General features: G+C 40.3%; 1 annotated feature.

The window, feature by feature from the left end:
• Window positions 15,364–15,523: an enhancer, noted in NCBI's record as "active region_28526". NCBI's record gives its function as "activates an Ori minimal core promoter by ATAC-STARR-seq in GM12878 lymphoblastoid cells {active_cell/tissue: GM12878}" and the evidence as "EXISTENCE:reporter gene assay evidence [ECO:0000049][PMID:35858748]".

Raw genomic sequence — 16,040 nt, 5'->3', positions numbered from 1 at the left:
CAGAAAACCAAATAGTGTATATTCTCATTTATAAGTGGGAGCTAACCAATGAGAACACAAGGATACAAAGAAGAGAACAACTGGACACCAGGGCTTACTTGAGGGTGGAGGGTGGAAGGAGGAAGAGGATCAAGAAAAAATGCCTATTGAGTATTATACTTATTACCTGAGTGACTAAATAATCTGTACACCAAACCCCCATGACACACAGTTTACCTATATAACAATCCTGCACATATACCCCTAAACCTAAAATAAAAGTTTTTTTAAAAAACTATAGAAAAAGAAGAGCAAACTAAACCTAAGCAAGAAGAAGGAAAAAAATAAACATTAGAGGAGAGATAAATGAAGTAGAGAATAGAATGACAATGGAAAAAATTAATAAAACATAACATAGTTATTTGAAAAGATCAACAATGTTGAGAAAACTTTGGCTAGACTAACCAAGAAAAAAGAAAAAGAGTAGACTTAAACTATTAAAATCAGGAACAAAGGAGATGTTGCTAACGATATAGAGAAATTAAAAGCATTGTAAAACAATACCGTGAACAATTGTATGCCAACAAATTAGACAATTTAGATGAAATGGACAATTTCTGGAGACACACAAGCTACCAAAATTGACTCAGGAAGAAACAGACAATCTGAATAGACCTATAACAAATAAAGAGATTGAGTCAACCCTCCAAAAGCTTCCAATAAAGAAAACCCCAGGACCAGATGGTGAATTCTACCAAATTTTTAAGAATTAGTAGAAATGCTTCTTAGACTCTTCCAAAAAAATAGAATTGAGAAAACTTCCTAACTCACTCCATGAGGTCGGCATTACCATGATACCAAAACCAGATAAAGACATCACAAGAAAACTATAAACCAAAGTCTCTTATGAATGTAGATGCCAAAACACTCAACAAAATACTAGCAAACTGAAGACTGGGCACAGTGGCTCACACCTGTAATCCCAGCACTTTGGGAGGCCAATGCAGGCATATCACTTGAAGCCAGGAGGTCGAGACCAGCCTGACCAACATGGTGAAACATCATCACTACTAAAAATACAAAAATTAGCCTGGTGTGGTGGCACATGCCTGTAATCCCAGCTACTCGGGAGGCTGAGACATGAGAATCTCTTGAACCTGGGAGGCAGAGGTTGCAATGAGCCAAGACGGCACCATTGCACTCTAGCCTGGGTGACAGAGTGAGACTGCATTCTACCCCGCCAAAAAAAAAAAAATACTAGCAAACTGAATCCAGGAGTATATTAAAGATATTATACATTATGTCCAAGTGAGAGTAATCCCAGGAATGTGAAAGTGGTTCCAACATATAAAAATCAGTCAAAGTAACACAGCATATCAATAGAATAAAGGAAGAATATCCAGGTGTGGTGGCACATGCCTATAATCCCAGCTACTCGGGAGGCTGAGGCAGGAGAATCGCTTGAACCTGGGAGGTGGAGGTTGCGGTGAGCCAAGATCGCGCTGCTGCACTCCAGCCTGGGCAACAAGAGCGAAACTCCGTCTCAAAAAAATAAATTAATTAATTAAATAAAGGAAGAAACTGATTCCTCGGTGTGTTGCATTCTGGATTCAGAGCTTTCCACACCCCAATAAATTGCCCTAAGATCACCAATTATAAGTTCACTGCAGAATTTAATAGATTTTAATCTTTCTGTCACTTGATCCCTCAAGGACATGAGGCCTGTTGGCCACATGCTTCTGGTTCTCCTCATGCCTTCCAAACATTTCTTTCCAGTCTCCTTCATGAGGCTTCCTGCCTACTCTTTGACAAGTGACCTTCTTCTGTTCATACTCTAACATCTGCCTGAATACAGTAATCCACATTTTGGTTTAACTGCCACCTTATATCATATCCCAGGATCCTCCCCTGCCCTCCAGACCCATGTATCCTTTTGCCCACTGGATAATGCAAACTGGATAATTCCAAGTTGTTCAAGTTCCACGTGGCTAGAATTGGACTCCTTATCTTCCACCCAAAACCTTCTACTATTCCATGATTATTTGATAATTTAAAAGAATAACCACAAGCCTATTATTATTAAATAGTCCAACCCAGTTGTCCAAAGCACAACCTTGGAAATCACTGCTGACCTCTTCCTCAACAATCAGCATTCAAGAGGTCACTAAATCCTGAGGATTAGTCTTCTGTCACAGCTCTGCCGAAATCTGTACCATCTGTTTCCTGGAATGTTACTTTAGGCTCCTAAGTGAATTTTCTTCTTTTTTTCCCCTTCAATCCGTTATCCACATTGCAACCAAAGTGATCTTTCCGTAACTGATGTGATCCCATGACTCCGAATAATACCCAAGATACACGAACATATACACAAATAATAGTAACAGCATTATTTCAATTCTTAAACATTGCTGGATTCTTTCAGATCCAGCTAAAACACCCCACTTTTGGCTAAAAAATGACTTAAAATTTCTCTTAAAATCCTATACATATAAGGACACCCTCTTTTGTGCCCCAACACTTCTCCCAAACACACATGAACACCTCCTACCTCCTACCTCCTACCTAGCTATGGTCAACCACTCAATACACATCTCCCCTGCATGACTTCAAGGTCCTTGAAGAATGAACCTTATTGTTATTCATTTCTATATCCTCAGGGTATATATCACTGTCTGACATGTTATGAATTAAGAACTTAAGAACTATTTCTACATAGTCAATGGATTATTATGAATTATAATACTATCCCAGACAGTACTAGTTAAAGTCTGCTACTTATTCTGAGACCAGCACAGGGCACCATAATTTAATGTGCACATGGAGAAAGGAGAAAATATGAGAAAAGAATCTAACGTTCGGAAAATTATACTTATTGGGAGACTAAAGAACATCTCAACTTGAAAAATGGAGGCTGAGGAGGGATTTAAATACATCTTCAAATACAGCCATTAATGGTAGAAAAGAAATCCCTGCAGGCTGAGGAGACCAAGCCTCTATTCTACTAACTAGCTATGGGAACCCACGCTTTCTGGGCCCAAGCTTTTGTTCCTGTTAAATTCTAAGGCTAGGCTCTAAACTCCGTTAAAGCACTAGTGCTCTATGATTCTAAAGTTATACATCACATTAAAGCAGAATAAAGAAAAATACACAGGTGTCAGCATAAGGGACTTTGTTAAACCCAGGAAATATTTTCCCAAAGCAGAACTGGTTTCAGAGTGGAGTGACTGTGAGCAGGGCTGTGCAGACTTGCTTGCTGAATGCCCTGATCAACAGAGGAGTTTTCAGTCATCCTGCAGGATTCGTGTTGTGTTCTTCCTAGAGGGAGTAGAGGGGCTTGAGGGAGAGTTTGAGACAGATTACCCAACCTGAACCTCTGATATTTTCATAAACATTATGTGTCAAAGAAGGTCTTCTTTTCCAGAAAGATCACACCAACTTCTCGGGGCATATAGAAAAAAATCAATGAGTCATCATCAATGCTTCCTGTCATCATAATCATGAGTGACAATCCTATAAAGAGTGGCGTGTTATGGGGTGTAAGGGGAGGGGGGGCTTTTTGTAAAAAGATAGCAGAATTTTGTCCTAAAACTAGAAATTCAAATATAACTGGGAATATATTTTCACAGCAGTGTGAACTTTCCTCTACAAATCCGCAGCAGATGACCTCTGTGCTTGATCTTACGGAAGCTGAATGCCGGGGTGAATTCACTGTTTTCTGAAAAAAGATACAAAAAATCCAGATGGCAGCTTATGGCCTCAGTCAACGTTCTGCCATGAGTCCTCTCCAAGTCTATATTTAGCATGATCTGATTGAGTAAGATCACATGCTCAGAGTAAACTCAGTCCAGAATATCAACTATGATTTACTTCCAGAGGCAGTAATAAATCTCCCTGTTGGAATTTTATTCGGTTTCTGCTGGCTAGGTTCTTTGTCCATTTGTATTATGCCCTGAAGCTGTAAATATGTAGAATTAAAATGGGCAAGAGATATCTATATTTATATCTGTTTCAATATTTCTATTTATATCTATCTGCTCTACTGCTTGCCTCCTGCAGAATGAGATTAATCCCTTTAAATATTATTAATCATGGTCATTTGCTCAAGACAATGCAATAGGGGGAATAAACAGCTTCCAGGAACCACCTACTTCACTGTGGATTTCCCACCAAGAAAAATAAATATTGAATTTTTCTCAGCTACTGAAAATAGCAATTCCACCACAGCAGCAGAAAAATAACCTTAGTAGGTAAAGACATTTGAGCTAAGCTAGACTTTGGGAACATAGTGACCTGGTCTTGAGATGAAGCCAAGGGAAATTAGCTCTCTGTCCATTTATGGGAACTGAATTTCAGCGGGAGGAGGAGAGTTGAGCACATCTTGGAAGTGACAAGTTTAACGTTTGCATTCCGGTGATCATAGCCTGCCCTATCTCAGGACAAGGATGTGTGTCTGTCCTTCCCAAAATAACCCTGAGTCTTCTGCTGGCCTGGATAAGCATCCTCACCCAATGATTCAGGAAGGGCTGGTTGGGAAAGGGGCATGTCTAGCCCAGCCCAGATGAGGCCACACTCTTTTACTGGGCTCATGGGGCTCAGGTTCAGTGCCCATTCAAATACAGCCAGATATTTCTTCCCAGATAAAGCAGAAGACTCCACATCTACCTTGTGTACTCCCACCATAAACCAAGTTAGATTGGAAACTTCAATTGACCTTTCTCAGTAAGGATTACTGATAGAATAAAGCTCCAGTCCATTAAGGCAACCAAACATGTAACAAATTAGCTTATCTCCTCTCCATCTACAATGGTACTAGCTATGTTGCATTCTTGGGAAATGGAGAATTAGTCAACGAAATCACTTGTCTGTAGGCTAATTCTCTTTTGGGACCCTGATTGGAAAAGACTATAATTAGAAAGCTTCAGGGATAAGATGAAGCCTTCTGAGACTTGTGGACCAGATCTGTGGACTTCAGTCTAGAACATAGGTGGACACTGGGGTTTTTCTGGATCTTATCTAGTCTTGGCGTGGCAAGCATGCTTTTTGTCCCACAGTGGGGTCTGTCAAGATTTAATAGCAACTGCTGACCTTGCTATTGCAATGCAGGCCTATCACCATATTACTCCTGCTGCCTACAATAGCTGTTCATACGGAGGAAGCAAGTAAGTCAGTGATTCACCTTGGTTTTTGTCCTGTATCCAAGAATTAAGAGTGAGTTCCATGGTGACACAGTGGGCTGAAAATCTTAGTTAAGGGCATTTATAGAGACTTGATTATATGATTTCTTTTTTTGTTGAAATACACTCTCATTGGCTTTATGGTGTGAAGATTACAATTGTGGGTCCTTGAAACAGACAGACCTGAGTCTAGTATCGCTTTGTGTCTTATAAGCTATGTGTCCTCAGAAACATTACTTAGACTCTCTAGACTGAACACAAGGCAGCGAAGGACAGTGATCCCTGAGTGAGCCTCCCTCACCCAAGAGTGAGGGTGGCTGCTCTCCCCCATCTAACAAGATAGAAGTTGAACATAGTTGAGGTGATTCTGAAAAAAACAGTTCTTTATTTGGAGTAGCAAGGAAATTATTGGGAACCAAAAATAAATACTCCATGCAATGTTTCTCAACCTTTTTCCATGTTATTCACTTGTCTATGGAAGGAATAAATTAAACTGCATGATTTTAAAAATTTATATCAGACAAAAATTTATATGCCACTTATTTTCACTCAACAATATATCATGTCTATTCTTTTATGTCAGCGCATATAGATGTATCTTATTCTTTTCAAAAAATTATTTATTAGGTAAGTCAAAATTATATATACTTACATTGTACAATATAGTGTTGGTGCAATGGATAAATCAAGCTATTTAACATTTCCATTACCTCAAACATAATTTGTGATGAGAACACTTAAACTCCTTAAAATCTACTCTCTTGGCAATTTACAAGTATATAATATATTCTTTTTTTATTATTATACTTTAAGTTCTAGGATACATGTGCATAATGTGCAGGGTTGTTACGTAGTTATACATGTGCCATGTTGGTTTGCTGCACCCATTAACTCATCATTTACATTGGGTATTTCTCCTAATGCTATCCCTCCCCCAGCCCCCCACCCCACGACAGGCCCTGGTGTGTGATGTTCCCCTCCCTGTGTCCAAGTGTTCTCATTGTTCAATTCCCACCTATGAGTGAGAACATGCGGTGTTTGCTTTTATGTCCTTGTGATAGTTTGCTGAGAATGATGGTTTCCAGCTTCATCCATGTCCCTACAAAGGACATGAACTCATCATTTTTTATGGCTGCATAGTGTTCCATGGTGTATATGTGCCACATTTTCTTAATCCAGTCTATCATTGATGGACATTTGGGTTGGTTCCAAGTCTTTGTTATTGTGAATAGTGCCGCAACAAACATACTTGTGCATGTGTCTCTATAGTAGCATGATTTATAATACTTTGGGTATATACCCAGTAATGGGATCACTGGGTCAAATGGTATTTCTAGTTCTAGATTCTTGAGGAATCGTCACACTGTCTTCCACAATGGTTGAACTAATTTACACTCCCACCAACAGTGTAAAAGTGTTCCTATTTCTCCACATCCTCTCCAGCATCTGTTGTTTCATGACTTTTTAATGATTGCCATTCTAACTGGTGTGAGATGGTATCTCATTGTGGTTTTGATTTGCATTTCTCTGATGACTAGTGATGATGAGCATTTTTTCATGTGTCTGCTGGCTGCATAAATGTCTTCTTTTGAGAAGTGTCTGTTCACATCCTTTGCCCACTTTTTGATGGGTTTGTTTGTTTTTTTCTTGAAAATTTGTTTAAGTTCTTTGTAGATTCTAGATATTAGCCCTTTGTCAGATGGGTAGATTGCAAAAATATTCTCCCATTCTGTAGGTTACCTGTTCACTCTGATGGTAGTTTCTTTTGCTGTGCAAAAGCTCTTTAATTAGATCCCATTCATCTATTTTGGCTTTTGTTGCCATTGCTTTTGGTGTTTTAGTCATGAAGTCCTTGCCCATGTGTATGTCCTGAATGGTATTGCCTAGGTTTTCTTCTAGAGTTTTTATGGTTTCAGGTCTAACATTTAAGTCTTTAATCCACCTTGAATTAATTTTTGTATAAGGTGTAAGGAAGGGATCCAGTTTCAGCTTTCTACATATGGCTAGCCAGTTTTCCCAGCACCATTTAATCAATAGGGAATCTGTTCCCAATTTCTTGTTTTTGTCAGGTTTGTCAAAGATCAGATGATTGTAGATGTGTGGTGTTATTTCTGAGGCCTCTGTTCTGTTCCATTTGTCTATATATCTGTTTTGGTACCAGTACCATGTTGTTTTTGTTACTGTAGCCTCGTAGTATAGTTTGAAGTCAGTAGTATAGTTTGATGCCTCCAGCTTTGTTCTTTTTGCTTAGGAATGTCTTGGCAATGTGGGCTTTTTTTTGGTTCCATATGAACTTTAAAGCAGTTTTTTCCAATCCTGTGAAGAAAGTCATTGGTAGCTTGATGGGGATGGTATTGAATCTATAAATTACCTTGGGCAGTATGGCCATTTTTACGATATTGATTCTTCCTATCCATTAGCATGGAATGTTCTTCCATTTGTTTGTGTCCTCTTTTATTTCGTTGAGCAGTGGTTTGTAGTTCTCCTTGAAGAAGTCCTTCACATCCCTTATAAGTTGGATTCCTAGGTATTTTATTCTCTTTGTAGCAATTGTGAATGAGAGTTCACTCATGATTTGGCTCTTTGTTTGTCTGTTATTGATGTATAGTAATGCTTGTGATTTTAGCACATCGATTTTGTGCCCTGAGACTTTGCTGAAGTTGCTTATCAGCTTAAGGAGATTTTGGGCTGAGATGATGGGGTTTTCTAAATATACAATCATGTCATCTGCAAACAGGGACAATTTGACTTCGTCTTTTCCTAATTGAATACCCTTTATTTCTTTCTCTTGCCTGATTGCCTTGACCAAAACTTCTAACACTATGTTGAATAGAAGTGGTGAGAGAGGGCATCCTTGTCTTGTGCTGGTTTTCAGAGGGAATGCTTCCAGTTTTTTCCCATTCAGTATGATATTGGCTGTGGGTTTGTCATAAATATTGGCTGTGGGTTTGTCTTATTATTTTGAGATACGTTCCATCAATACCTAGTTTATTGAGAGTTTTTAGCATGAAGGGCTGTTGAATTTTGTCAAAGGCCTTTTCTGCAGCTATTGAGATAATTATGTGGTTTTTGTCATTGGTGCTGTTTATGTGATGGATTACGTTTATTGATTTGCGTATGTTGAACCAGCGTTGCATCCCAGGGATGAAGCTGACTTGATCATGGTGGATAAGCCTTTCGATGTGCTGCTGGATTCAGTTTGCCAGTATTTTATTGAGGATTTTTGCATCGATGTTCATCAGGGATATTGGTCTAAAATTCTCTTTTTTTGTTGTGTCTCTGCCAGGCTTTGGTATCAGGATGATGCTGGCCTCATAAAATGAGTTAGGGAGGATTCCCTCTTTTTCTATTGATTGGAATAGTTTCAGAAGGAATGGTACCAGCTCCTCTTTGTACCCCTGGTAGAATTTGGCTGTGAATCTGTCTGGTTCTGGACTTTTTTTGGTTGGAAGGTTATTACTTATTACCTCAATTTCAGATCCTGTTATTGGTCTATTCAGAGATTCTGCTTCTTCGTGGTTTAGTCTTGGGAGGGTGTATGTGTCCAGGAATTCATCCATTTTTTCCAGATTTTCTAGTTTATTTGCATAGAGGTGTTTATAGTGTTCTCTGATGGTAGTTTGTATTTCTGTGGGATCGGTGGTGATATCCCCTTTATCATTTTTTATTGCGTCTATTTGATTCTTCTCTCTTTTCTTCTTTATTAGTCTTGCTAGCAGTCTATCAATATTGTTGATCTTTTCAAAAAACCAGCTCTTGGATTCATTATTTTTTGAAGGGCTTTTTGTGTCTCTGTCTCCTTCAGTTCTGCTCTGATCTTAGTTATTTCTGCTAGCTTTTGAATGTGTTTGCTGTTGCTTCTCTAGTTCTTTTAATTGTGATGTTAGGGTGTCGATTTTAGATCTTTCCTGCTTTCTCTTGTGGACATTTAGTGCTATAAATTTCCCTCTACACACTGCTTTAAATGTGTCCCAGAGATTCTGGTACGTTGTGTCTTTTTTCTCATTGGTTTCAAAGAACTCTTTATTTCTGCCTTCATTTTGTTATTTACCCAGTAGTCGTTCAGGAGCAGGTTGTTAAGTTTGCATGTAGTTGTGCAGTTTTGAATGAGTTTCTTAATCCTGAGTTCTAATTTGATTGCACTGTGGTCTGAGAGACAGTTTGTTGTGATTTCTGTTCTTTTACATTTGCTGAGGAGTGCTTTACTTCCAACTCTGTGGTCAATTTTGGAATAAGTGCGATGTGGTCCTGAGAAGAAGGTATATTCTGTTGATTTGGGGTGGAGAGTTCTGTAGATGTCAATTAGGTCTGCTTGGTGCAGAGCTGAGTTCAAGTCCTGGATATCCTTATTAACCTTCTGTCTGGTTGATCTGTCTAATATTGACAGTGGGGTGTTAGCGTCTCCCATTATTATTGTGTGGGAGTCCAAGTCTCTTTGTAGGTCTGGAAGGACTTGCTTTATGAATCTGGGTGCTCCTGTATTGGGTGCATATATATTTAGGATAGTTAGCTCTTTTGTTGAATTGATCCCTTTACCATTATGTAATGGTCTTCTTTGTCTCTTTTGATTTTTGTTGGTTTAAAGTCCGTTTTATCAGAGACTAGGATTGCAACCCCTGCTTTTTTTTTGCTTTCCATTTGCTTGGTAGATCTTCCTCCATTCCTTTATTTGGAGCCTATGTGTGTCTTTGCACATGAGATAGGTCTCCTGAATACAGCACACTGATGGGTCTTGAGTATCCAATTTGCCAGTTTGTGTCTTTTAATTGGGGTATTTAGCCCATTTACATTTAAGGTTAATATTGTTATGTGTGAATTTGATCCTGTCATTATGATGTCAGCTGGTTATTTTGCCCATCAGTTGATGCAGTTTCTTTATAGCATCGATGGTCTTTACAATTTGGCATGTTTTTGCAGTGGCTGGTACTGGTTGTTCCTTTCCATGTTTAGTGCTTCCTTCAGGAGCTCTTGTATGGCAGACCTGGTGGTGACAAAATCTCTCAGCATTTTCTTGTCTGTAAAGGATTTTATTTCTCCTTCACTTATGAAGCTTAGTTTGGCTGGATATGAAATTCTGGGTTGAAAATTCTTTTCTTTAAGAATGTTGAATATTGGCCCCCACTCTCTTCTGTCTTGTGGAGTTTCTGCCAAGAGATCCACTGTTAGCCTGATGGGCTTCCCTTTGTGGGTAACCCGACCTTTCTCTCTGGCTGCCTTTAACATTTTTTCCTTCATTTCAACTTTGCTGAATCTGACAATTATGTGTCTTGGGGTTACTCTTCTCGAGGAGTATCTTTGTCGTGTCCTCTGTATTTCTGAATTTGAATGTTGGCCTGCTTTGCTAGGTTGGGGAAGTTCTCCTGGATAATATCCTGAAGAGTGTTTTCCAACTTAGTTTCATTCTCCCCGTCACTTTCAGGTACACCAATTAAACATAGATTTGGTCTTTTCACATAGTCCCATATTTCTTGGAGGCTTTGTTCATTTCTTTTTACTCTTTTTTCTCTAAACTTGTTTTCTTGCTTTATTTCATTAATTTGATCTTCAATCACTGATATCCTTTCTTCCACTTGATCGAATCAGCTATTGAAGCTTGTGCATGCGTCACGTAGTTCTCATGCCATGGTTTTCAGCTCCATCAGGTCATTTAAGGTCTTCTCTACATAGTTTATTCTAGTTAGACATTCTTCTAACCTTTTTTAAGGTTTGTAGCTTCCTTGCAATGGTTTAGAACATGCTCCTTTAGCTCAAAGAAGTTTGTTATTACCGACCTTCTGAAGCCTACTTCTGTCAACTCATCAAAGTCATTCTCCATCCCACTTTGTTCCGTTGCTGGTGAGGAGCTGCAGTCCTTTGGAGGAGAAGAGGTCCTCTGGTTTTCAGAATTTTCAGCTTTTCTGCTCTGGTTTCTCCCCATCTTTGTGGTTTTATCTACCTTTGGTCTTTGATGTTGGTGACCTACAGATGAGGTTTTGGTGTGGATGTATTTTTTGTTGATGTTGATGCTATTCCTTTGTATGTTAGTTTTCCTTCAAACAGTCAAGTCCCTCAGCTGCAGGTCTGTTGGAGTTTGCTGGAGGTCCACTCCAGACCCTGTTTGCTTGGGTATCACCAGCAGAGGCTGCAGAACAGCAAATATTGCAGAACAGCAAATATTGCTGCCTGATCCTTCCTCTGGAAGCTTTGTCCCAGAGGGGCACCCGCCTGTATGAGGTGTCTGTTGGCCCCTACTGGGCAGTGTCTCCCAGTTAGGCTACACAGGCATCAGGGACCCACTTGAGGAGGCAGTCTGTTTGTTGTCAGTGCTCAAACGCCATGCTGGAAGAACCACTGCTCTTTTCAGAGCTGTCAGACAGGAACGTTTAAGTCTGCAGAAGTTTCTGCTCCATTTTGTTCAGCTATGACCTACCCCCAGAGGTGGAGTCTATAGAGGCAGTAGGCCTTGCTGAGCTGCAGTGGGCTCCACCTAGTTAGAGCTTCCTGGCCGCTTTGCTTACCTACTCAAGCCTCAGCAATGGTGGATGCCCCTCCCCCTGCCAGGCTGCAGCCTCACAGGTTGACCTCAGACTGTTGCACTAGCAGTAAGCAAGGCTCCCTGGGCATGGGACCCACCCAGCCAGGCACGGGAGAGAATCTGCTGGTCTGCCAGTTGCTAAGATCATGGGAAAAGCACAGTATTTGGGCGGAAATGTCCCGTTTTTCCAGGTACAGTCTGTCACAGCTTCCCTTGGCTAGGAAAGGGAAATCCCCCAGCCCCTTGCACTTCCCGGGTAAGGCAATGCCCCCACCTGCTTCAGCTGGCCTTCTGTGGGCTGCACCCACTTTCCAACCAGTCCCAATGAGATGAACCAGTACCTCAGTTGGAAATGCAGAAATCACCTGTCTTCTGTGTCAATCATGCTGGGAGCTGCAGACCGGAGTTGTTCCTACTCGGCCATCTTGGAATGGAGGGTGAAGCATCTTTTATTCTAATGAGGCAACTCTTGGTGGCTTCCTAGATATCTTGAGGATTGGAGCTAGTGGCCAAAAAGACCAAGCCTTCATTAGAAACTTGGAACTTTGTCCCCACCCCTGACCTTTAGGGAGGAAGGAAAGGCTGGAGGGTGAGTTAATAACTAATAGCCAATGATTTAATCAGTTGTGCCTATGTAATGGAGCCTCCATAAAAACAAATTATGGGGTTCAGAAAGCTTCAGGGCTGGTGGATACATGGAGATGGTGAGAGGATGAGATGCCCAAACAGGGCATGGAAGTTCCCTGCCCTTCCCGCATACCTTGCCCTATGTCTCTCTTCCTTCAGGCTGCTCCTGAGTTGTAACCTTTATAATTAACTGGTAACAGTAAGTGAAGCACTTTTCTAAGTTCTGCAAGTCATTCTACCAAGTTATTAAACCTGAATGGGGGTGTGGGAACCCCAATTTTGTAGCTAAAGTAGACAGAAGTGTAGGCAAACTGAGGACCTGGTTCTTGCAACTGGAGTCTGAACTGGGGGCTATCTCGTGGGACTGAGCCCTTAAACCTGTGGGGTCAGCTAACTCCAGGTAGTTCATGTCAGAATTATGGAGTCTTCATTAGGGAAAGGGCTAGTGGGACCAAGGGAAAACAAAAAGAGGAAACAGATAAGCTCTAAGTCTGCCTTTCTTCATGGTCCAGGACACATGGCCCTCCTGTGCAAATAACTCACGATCTTCCTGTGCCCAACTGTCACCGGATACCTGCAAGCGAGTTCACTGGAACCTCATCATTTTCAGCACTGCACAAACCCTTCTTCAGCTTATAGCATAAACACTATTCTATAAAATCCCCACCAAGCCTTTGTCTCCTTGCAGTCAGCTCCTCTCTTGCTGATTCTGTCTGTTGCTTTCTTACAACGTATTTTCCTACTTCCTCTAATAAATCTGCCTTTCTTTGCCTACCACTGTCTTGATAAATTATTTTACCCCTGCACCACCGGCCCAGGCAGTCACTGCTCACCCACAACAAAAATAGGACTGAGTTACTGGACACCCAGTTTGTGTTTGGAGAGTTGCAGAACCCTTGGTCGTTGGTGTGGAAAAAACCAACACACTGGTGTGAGTCAGAAGTGTTGTGAATTAAAAAAGACCTGTGTGTGTGTGTGTGTGTGTGTGTGTTTACAATTGCATCTCTATCTACAGAGAGAAGGAATGATGAGGCAAATATGGTAAAATGTGAAAAATTGGAGAATCTGGCTGAAGGGTGTCAGGAGCTCTTTCTATGCTTTTTGTAATTCTGGAAAAAATGCTGTTTTGTTAGTGTCCTTTGTGCCGCATGACACACTGCTCCGTCTCATGGAAGGAACCACCTCTTTCACCCAGTTTTTCCACTGGCAATGACTTTGTATTCTTCAAATTTAATTTGAACACATTATACCAGGTGTATATATACCAGGATATGTAGGTGTAATAGTTCTCAACGCTGTGTAACAAATTATCACACACTTATGATTTAAAACAACACTTCACCAGCTCACAGGTCTGTGGCTCAGAATTTTGCAATGGCATGGCTGGGTTCTCTACTCAGAGTCACACAAACATAAAATCAAGATGTTGACAGGCTGAGTCTTCCTCTGAAGGCTCTAGGTAAATATTTGCTTCCCAGCTCATTATTCTTGTGTCAGAATCCAGTTCCTTGTAGCCATGGGCCTAGGGTACATGTCTCCTCACTGACTGACTACAGGCACTCTGCTGTCTTCTAGGCCAGCAGAGCCAGAGAAGGGTTTATGTGACTAGGTTAGCCGACAGGAGAGTCTCCCTATCTGAGGTCAAACATACTGCGTAACCTAACCTAATCACAAGAGTAAAATTTGTCACAAAAGACATTAAGTGAAAATTCATAGTCCCAGGATGTGCATGATCTTCAGGGATGTCTTATGATTCTGCCTACCACATATTTCTATTGATAAGAACTTAACATATTTTACAAATCACAAACCAAACTGTAATGGATTAGTCAATACTTGCTGCTAGGAAAATTATTGATCTTATTGAGGGAAAATAAATCAGCTTTCTAGTCTAACTTCATGTTACATATCAAGATAAATGTTGAATGGATTAAAAGGTGAAATATAAATCTGAAATCATAGAAGTATTAGAAAAACTGTAGGTGAATAGTTACCTTTCTTTTGCATAGGGGTAGGAGATTTTGCATAAAAAATAGCAAAAAAACTAATAGAACTGAAATTACTATAAACAAAATTAAATAATGCAGTAAGCAAAAGGGGAAATGTTGACATCAAATAGGAGAAAGTTTATTTATAATATTTCAAGAACTCACAAATTTGGTGAGAAAACCCTAATTGTAAAATAGGCCAGGTGTGGTGGCTCATGCTTGTAATCCCAAGACTTTGGGAGGCTGAGACAGGAGGATTGCTTGAGCCCAGAAGTTCAAGACCTGCCTGGTCAACATGGCAAAACCCTGTCTCTACTAAAAATACAAAAATTAGCTAGGCATGGTGGTGCACACCTGTAGTCCCAGCTACTCAGGAGGCTGAAATGGGAGAATCACTTTAGCTCAGGAAAGCAGAGGTTGCAGTAAGCCGAGATGGTGCCACTGCACTCCAGCCTGGTCAACAGAGCAAGACCCTGTCTCAAAGAAAAAGAAAAGAAAAGAAAAAAATAAACAAGAGACAGAACCTTCAAAAAAGAAGAAACAAATATGCAAACAAGTGCCTGTATGAATGTTTGCGCTCACAGTCATTAAAGAAGTTCAGATTTGAGCCACACTGGAATGGCATGTTTTACCCAAGAAATTGTAAACATTGAAAATGCTAGCAGTCTATGACAGCAAGGATGGCATAGGAAGCCCACTCCACTCACTCTACTATTGTTGAAATTGAGAATTGGGACAACATATCTGAAAATGAGAATTTAACAATGTGTATCAAGAAATTAAAAATTATTTAAATCTCTGACCTAGTCGTTCCACTTCTAAAAGTATATGCAAGGGAAATTAAATGAAAAAGAGACAAAATTATATCCACACAGTGATGACAAGAGTGCTGTTTCTAATGGTCAAAAAATGGGAACAGCCTAAAAATCCAACAGTAAACTATGATTTGGAGACGGAGTATTATGTAGCCATCAAAAAAGAGTTTGTGAATAATTTTTATGGAAAAGGGCTTTTTGAAAGCATAAACTTTTGAGAAAGACTGAAAAGAAAAGCAAAATATTAACTGTGGTGTCTGTGGAAATATGGTTTGGTTTCATTTCCTGCACTCTGCAAAATTTTCTCTCGGGGTATTCTTAACCTGGAGTTATGGGCCCCCTGGTGGTGAAGGGGATCTATAAAAACCCTCAACAATCGTATATTGGGTGTATGTGCAATTTTCCCACATATAAAACAAGCCCTTGAAATGAAATTATGTGGGCTCTAACCACCAAGAAAGCTGAGTCATTTTTTTCCTCAAGAAAGCAAAGACCCTGAGGACCTACACGTTCTCTTCCCCAGCACAGCCTACCATTTCCAGGGGCAAAAGAGAACCACGGTGCCCCACAAATCCCACCTGCCAAGAATCTGTCCCAGGCAGTGTCTCTAGAGCTTCTGGGCAGGTGGAGGAGGCTGCAGGGAGCTGCAAAGAAAAACCAACTTTCCATTTGGCATTTGCAAAGCCTTGACACAGAACCAGGTTTGTCTTTGTTTTTTGCTTGTTTTTTTGTTTCTTTGTTAGCTTTTGCACCTTTTTGTAGGTGCATTTTTTTTCAAAGGCAGAGAATTTCCTTGCTCATTCCCCTTGTCTGCCTGAAAGATGCAGATGGAATGTGTACCTGTATCCCCAGTGGAGATTCGTTCAGAGTCCTGAGCCTGCAGAATTACCTGCACTTGTTCCTGCTTCACGAAATCACAAGAATAAAAATGTTAGCAATCTCA

This window comes from Homo sapiens, chromosome 9 (assembly GCF_000001405.40).
Source record: "Homo sapiens chromosome 9, GRCh38.p14 Primary Assembly".
In the NCBI taxonomy this organism is placed as follows: domain Eukaryota; kingdom Metazoa; phylum Chordata; class Mammalia; order Primates; family Hominidae; genus Homo; species Homo sapiens.
The sequence above is the reverse complement of the archived record's forward strand: the minus strand, read 5'-3'. Positions and strand labels throughout refer to the sequence as shown.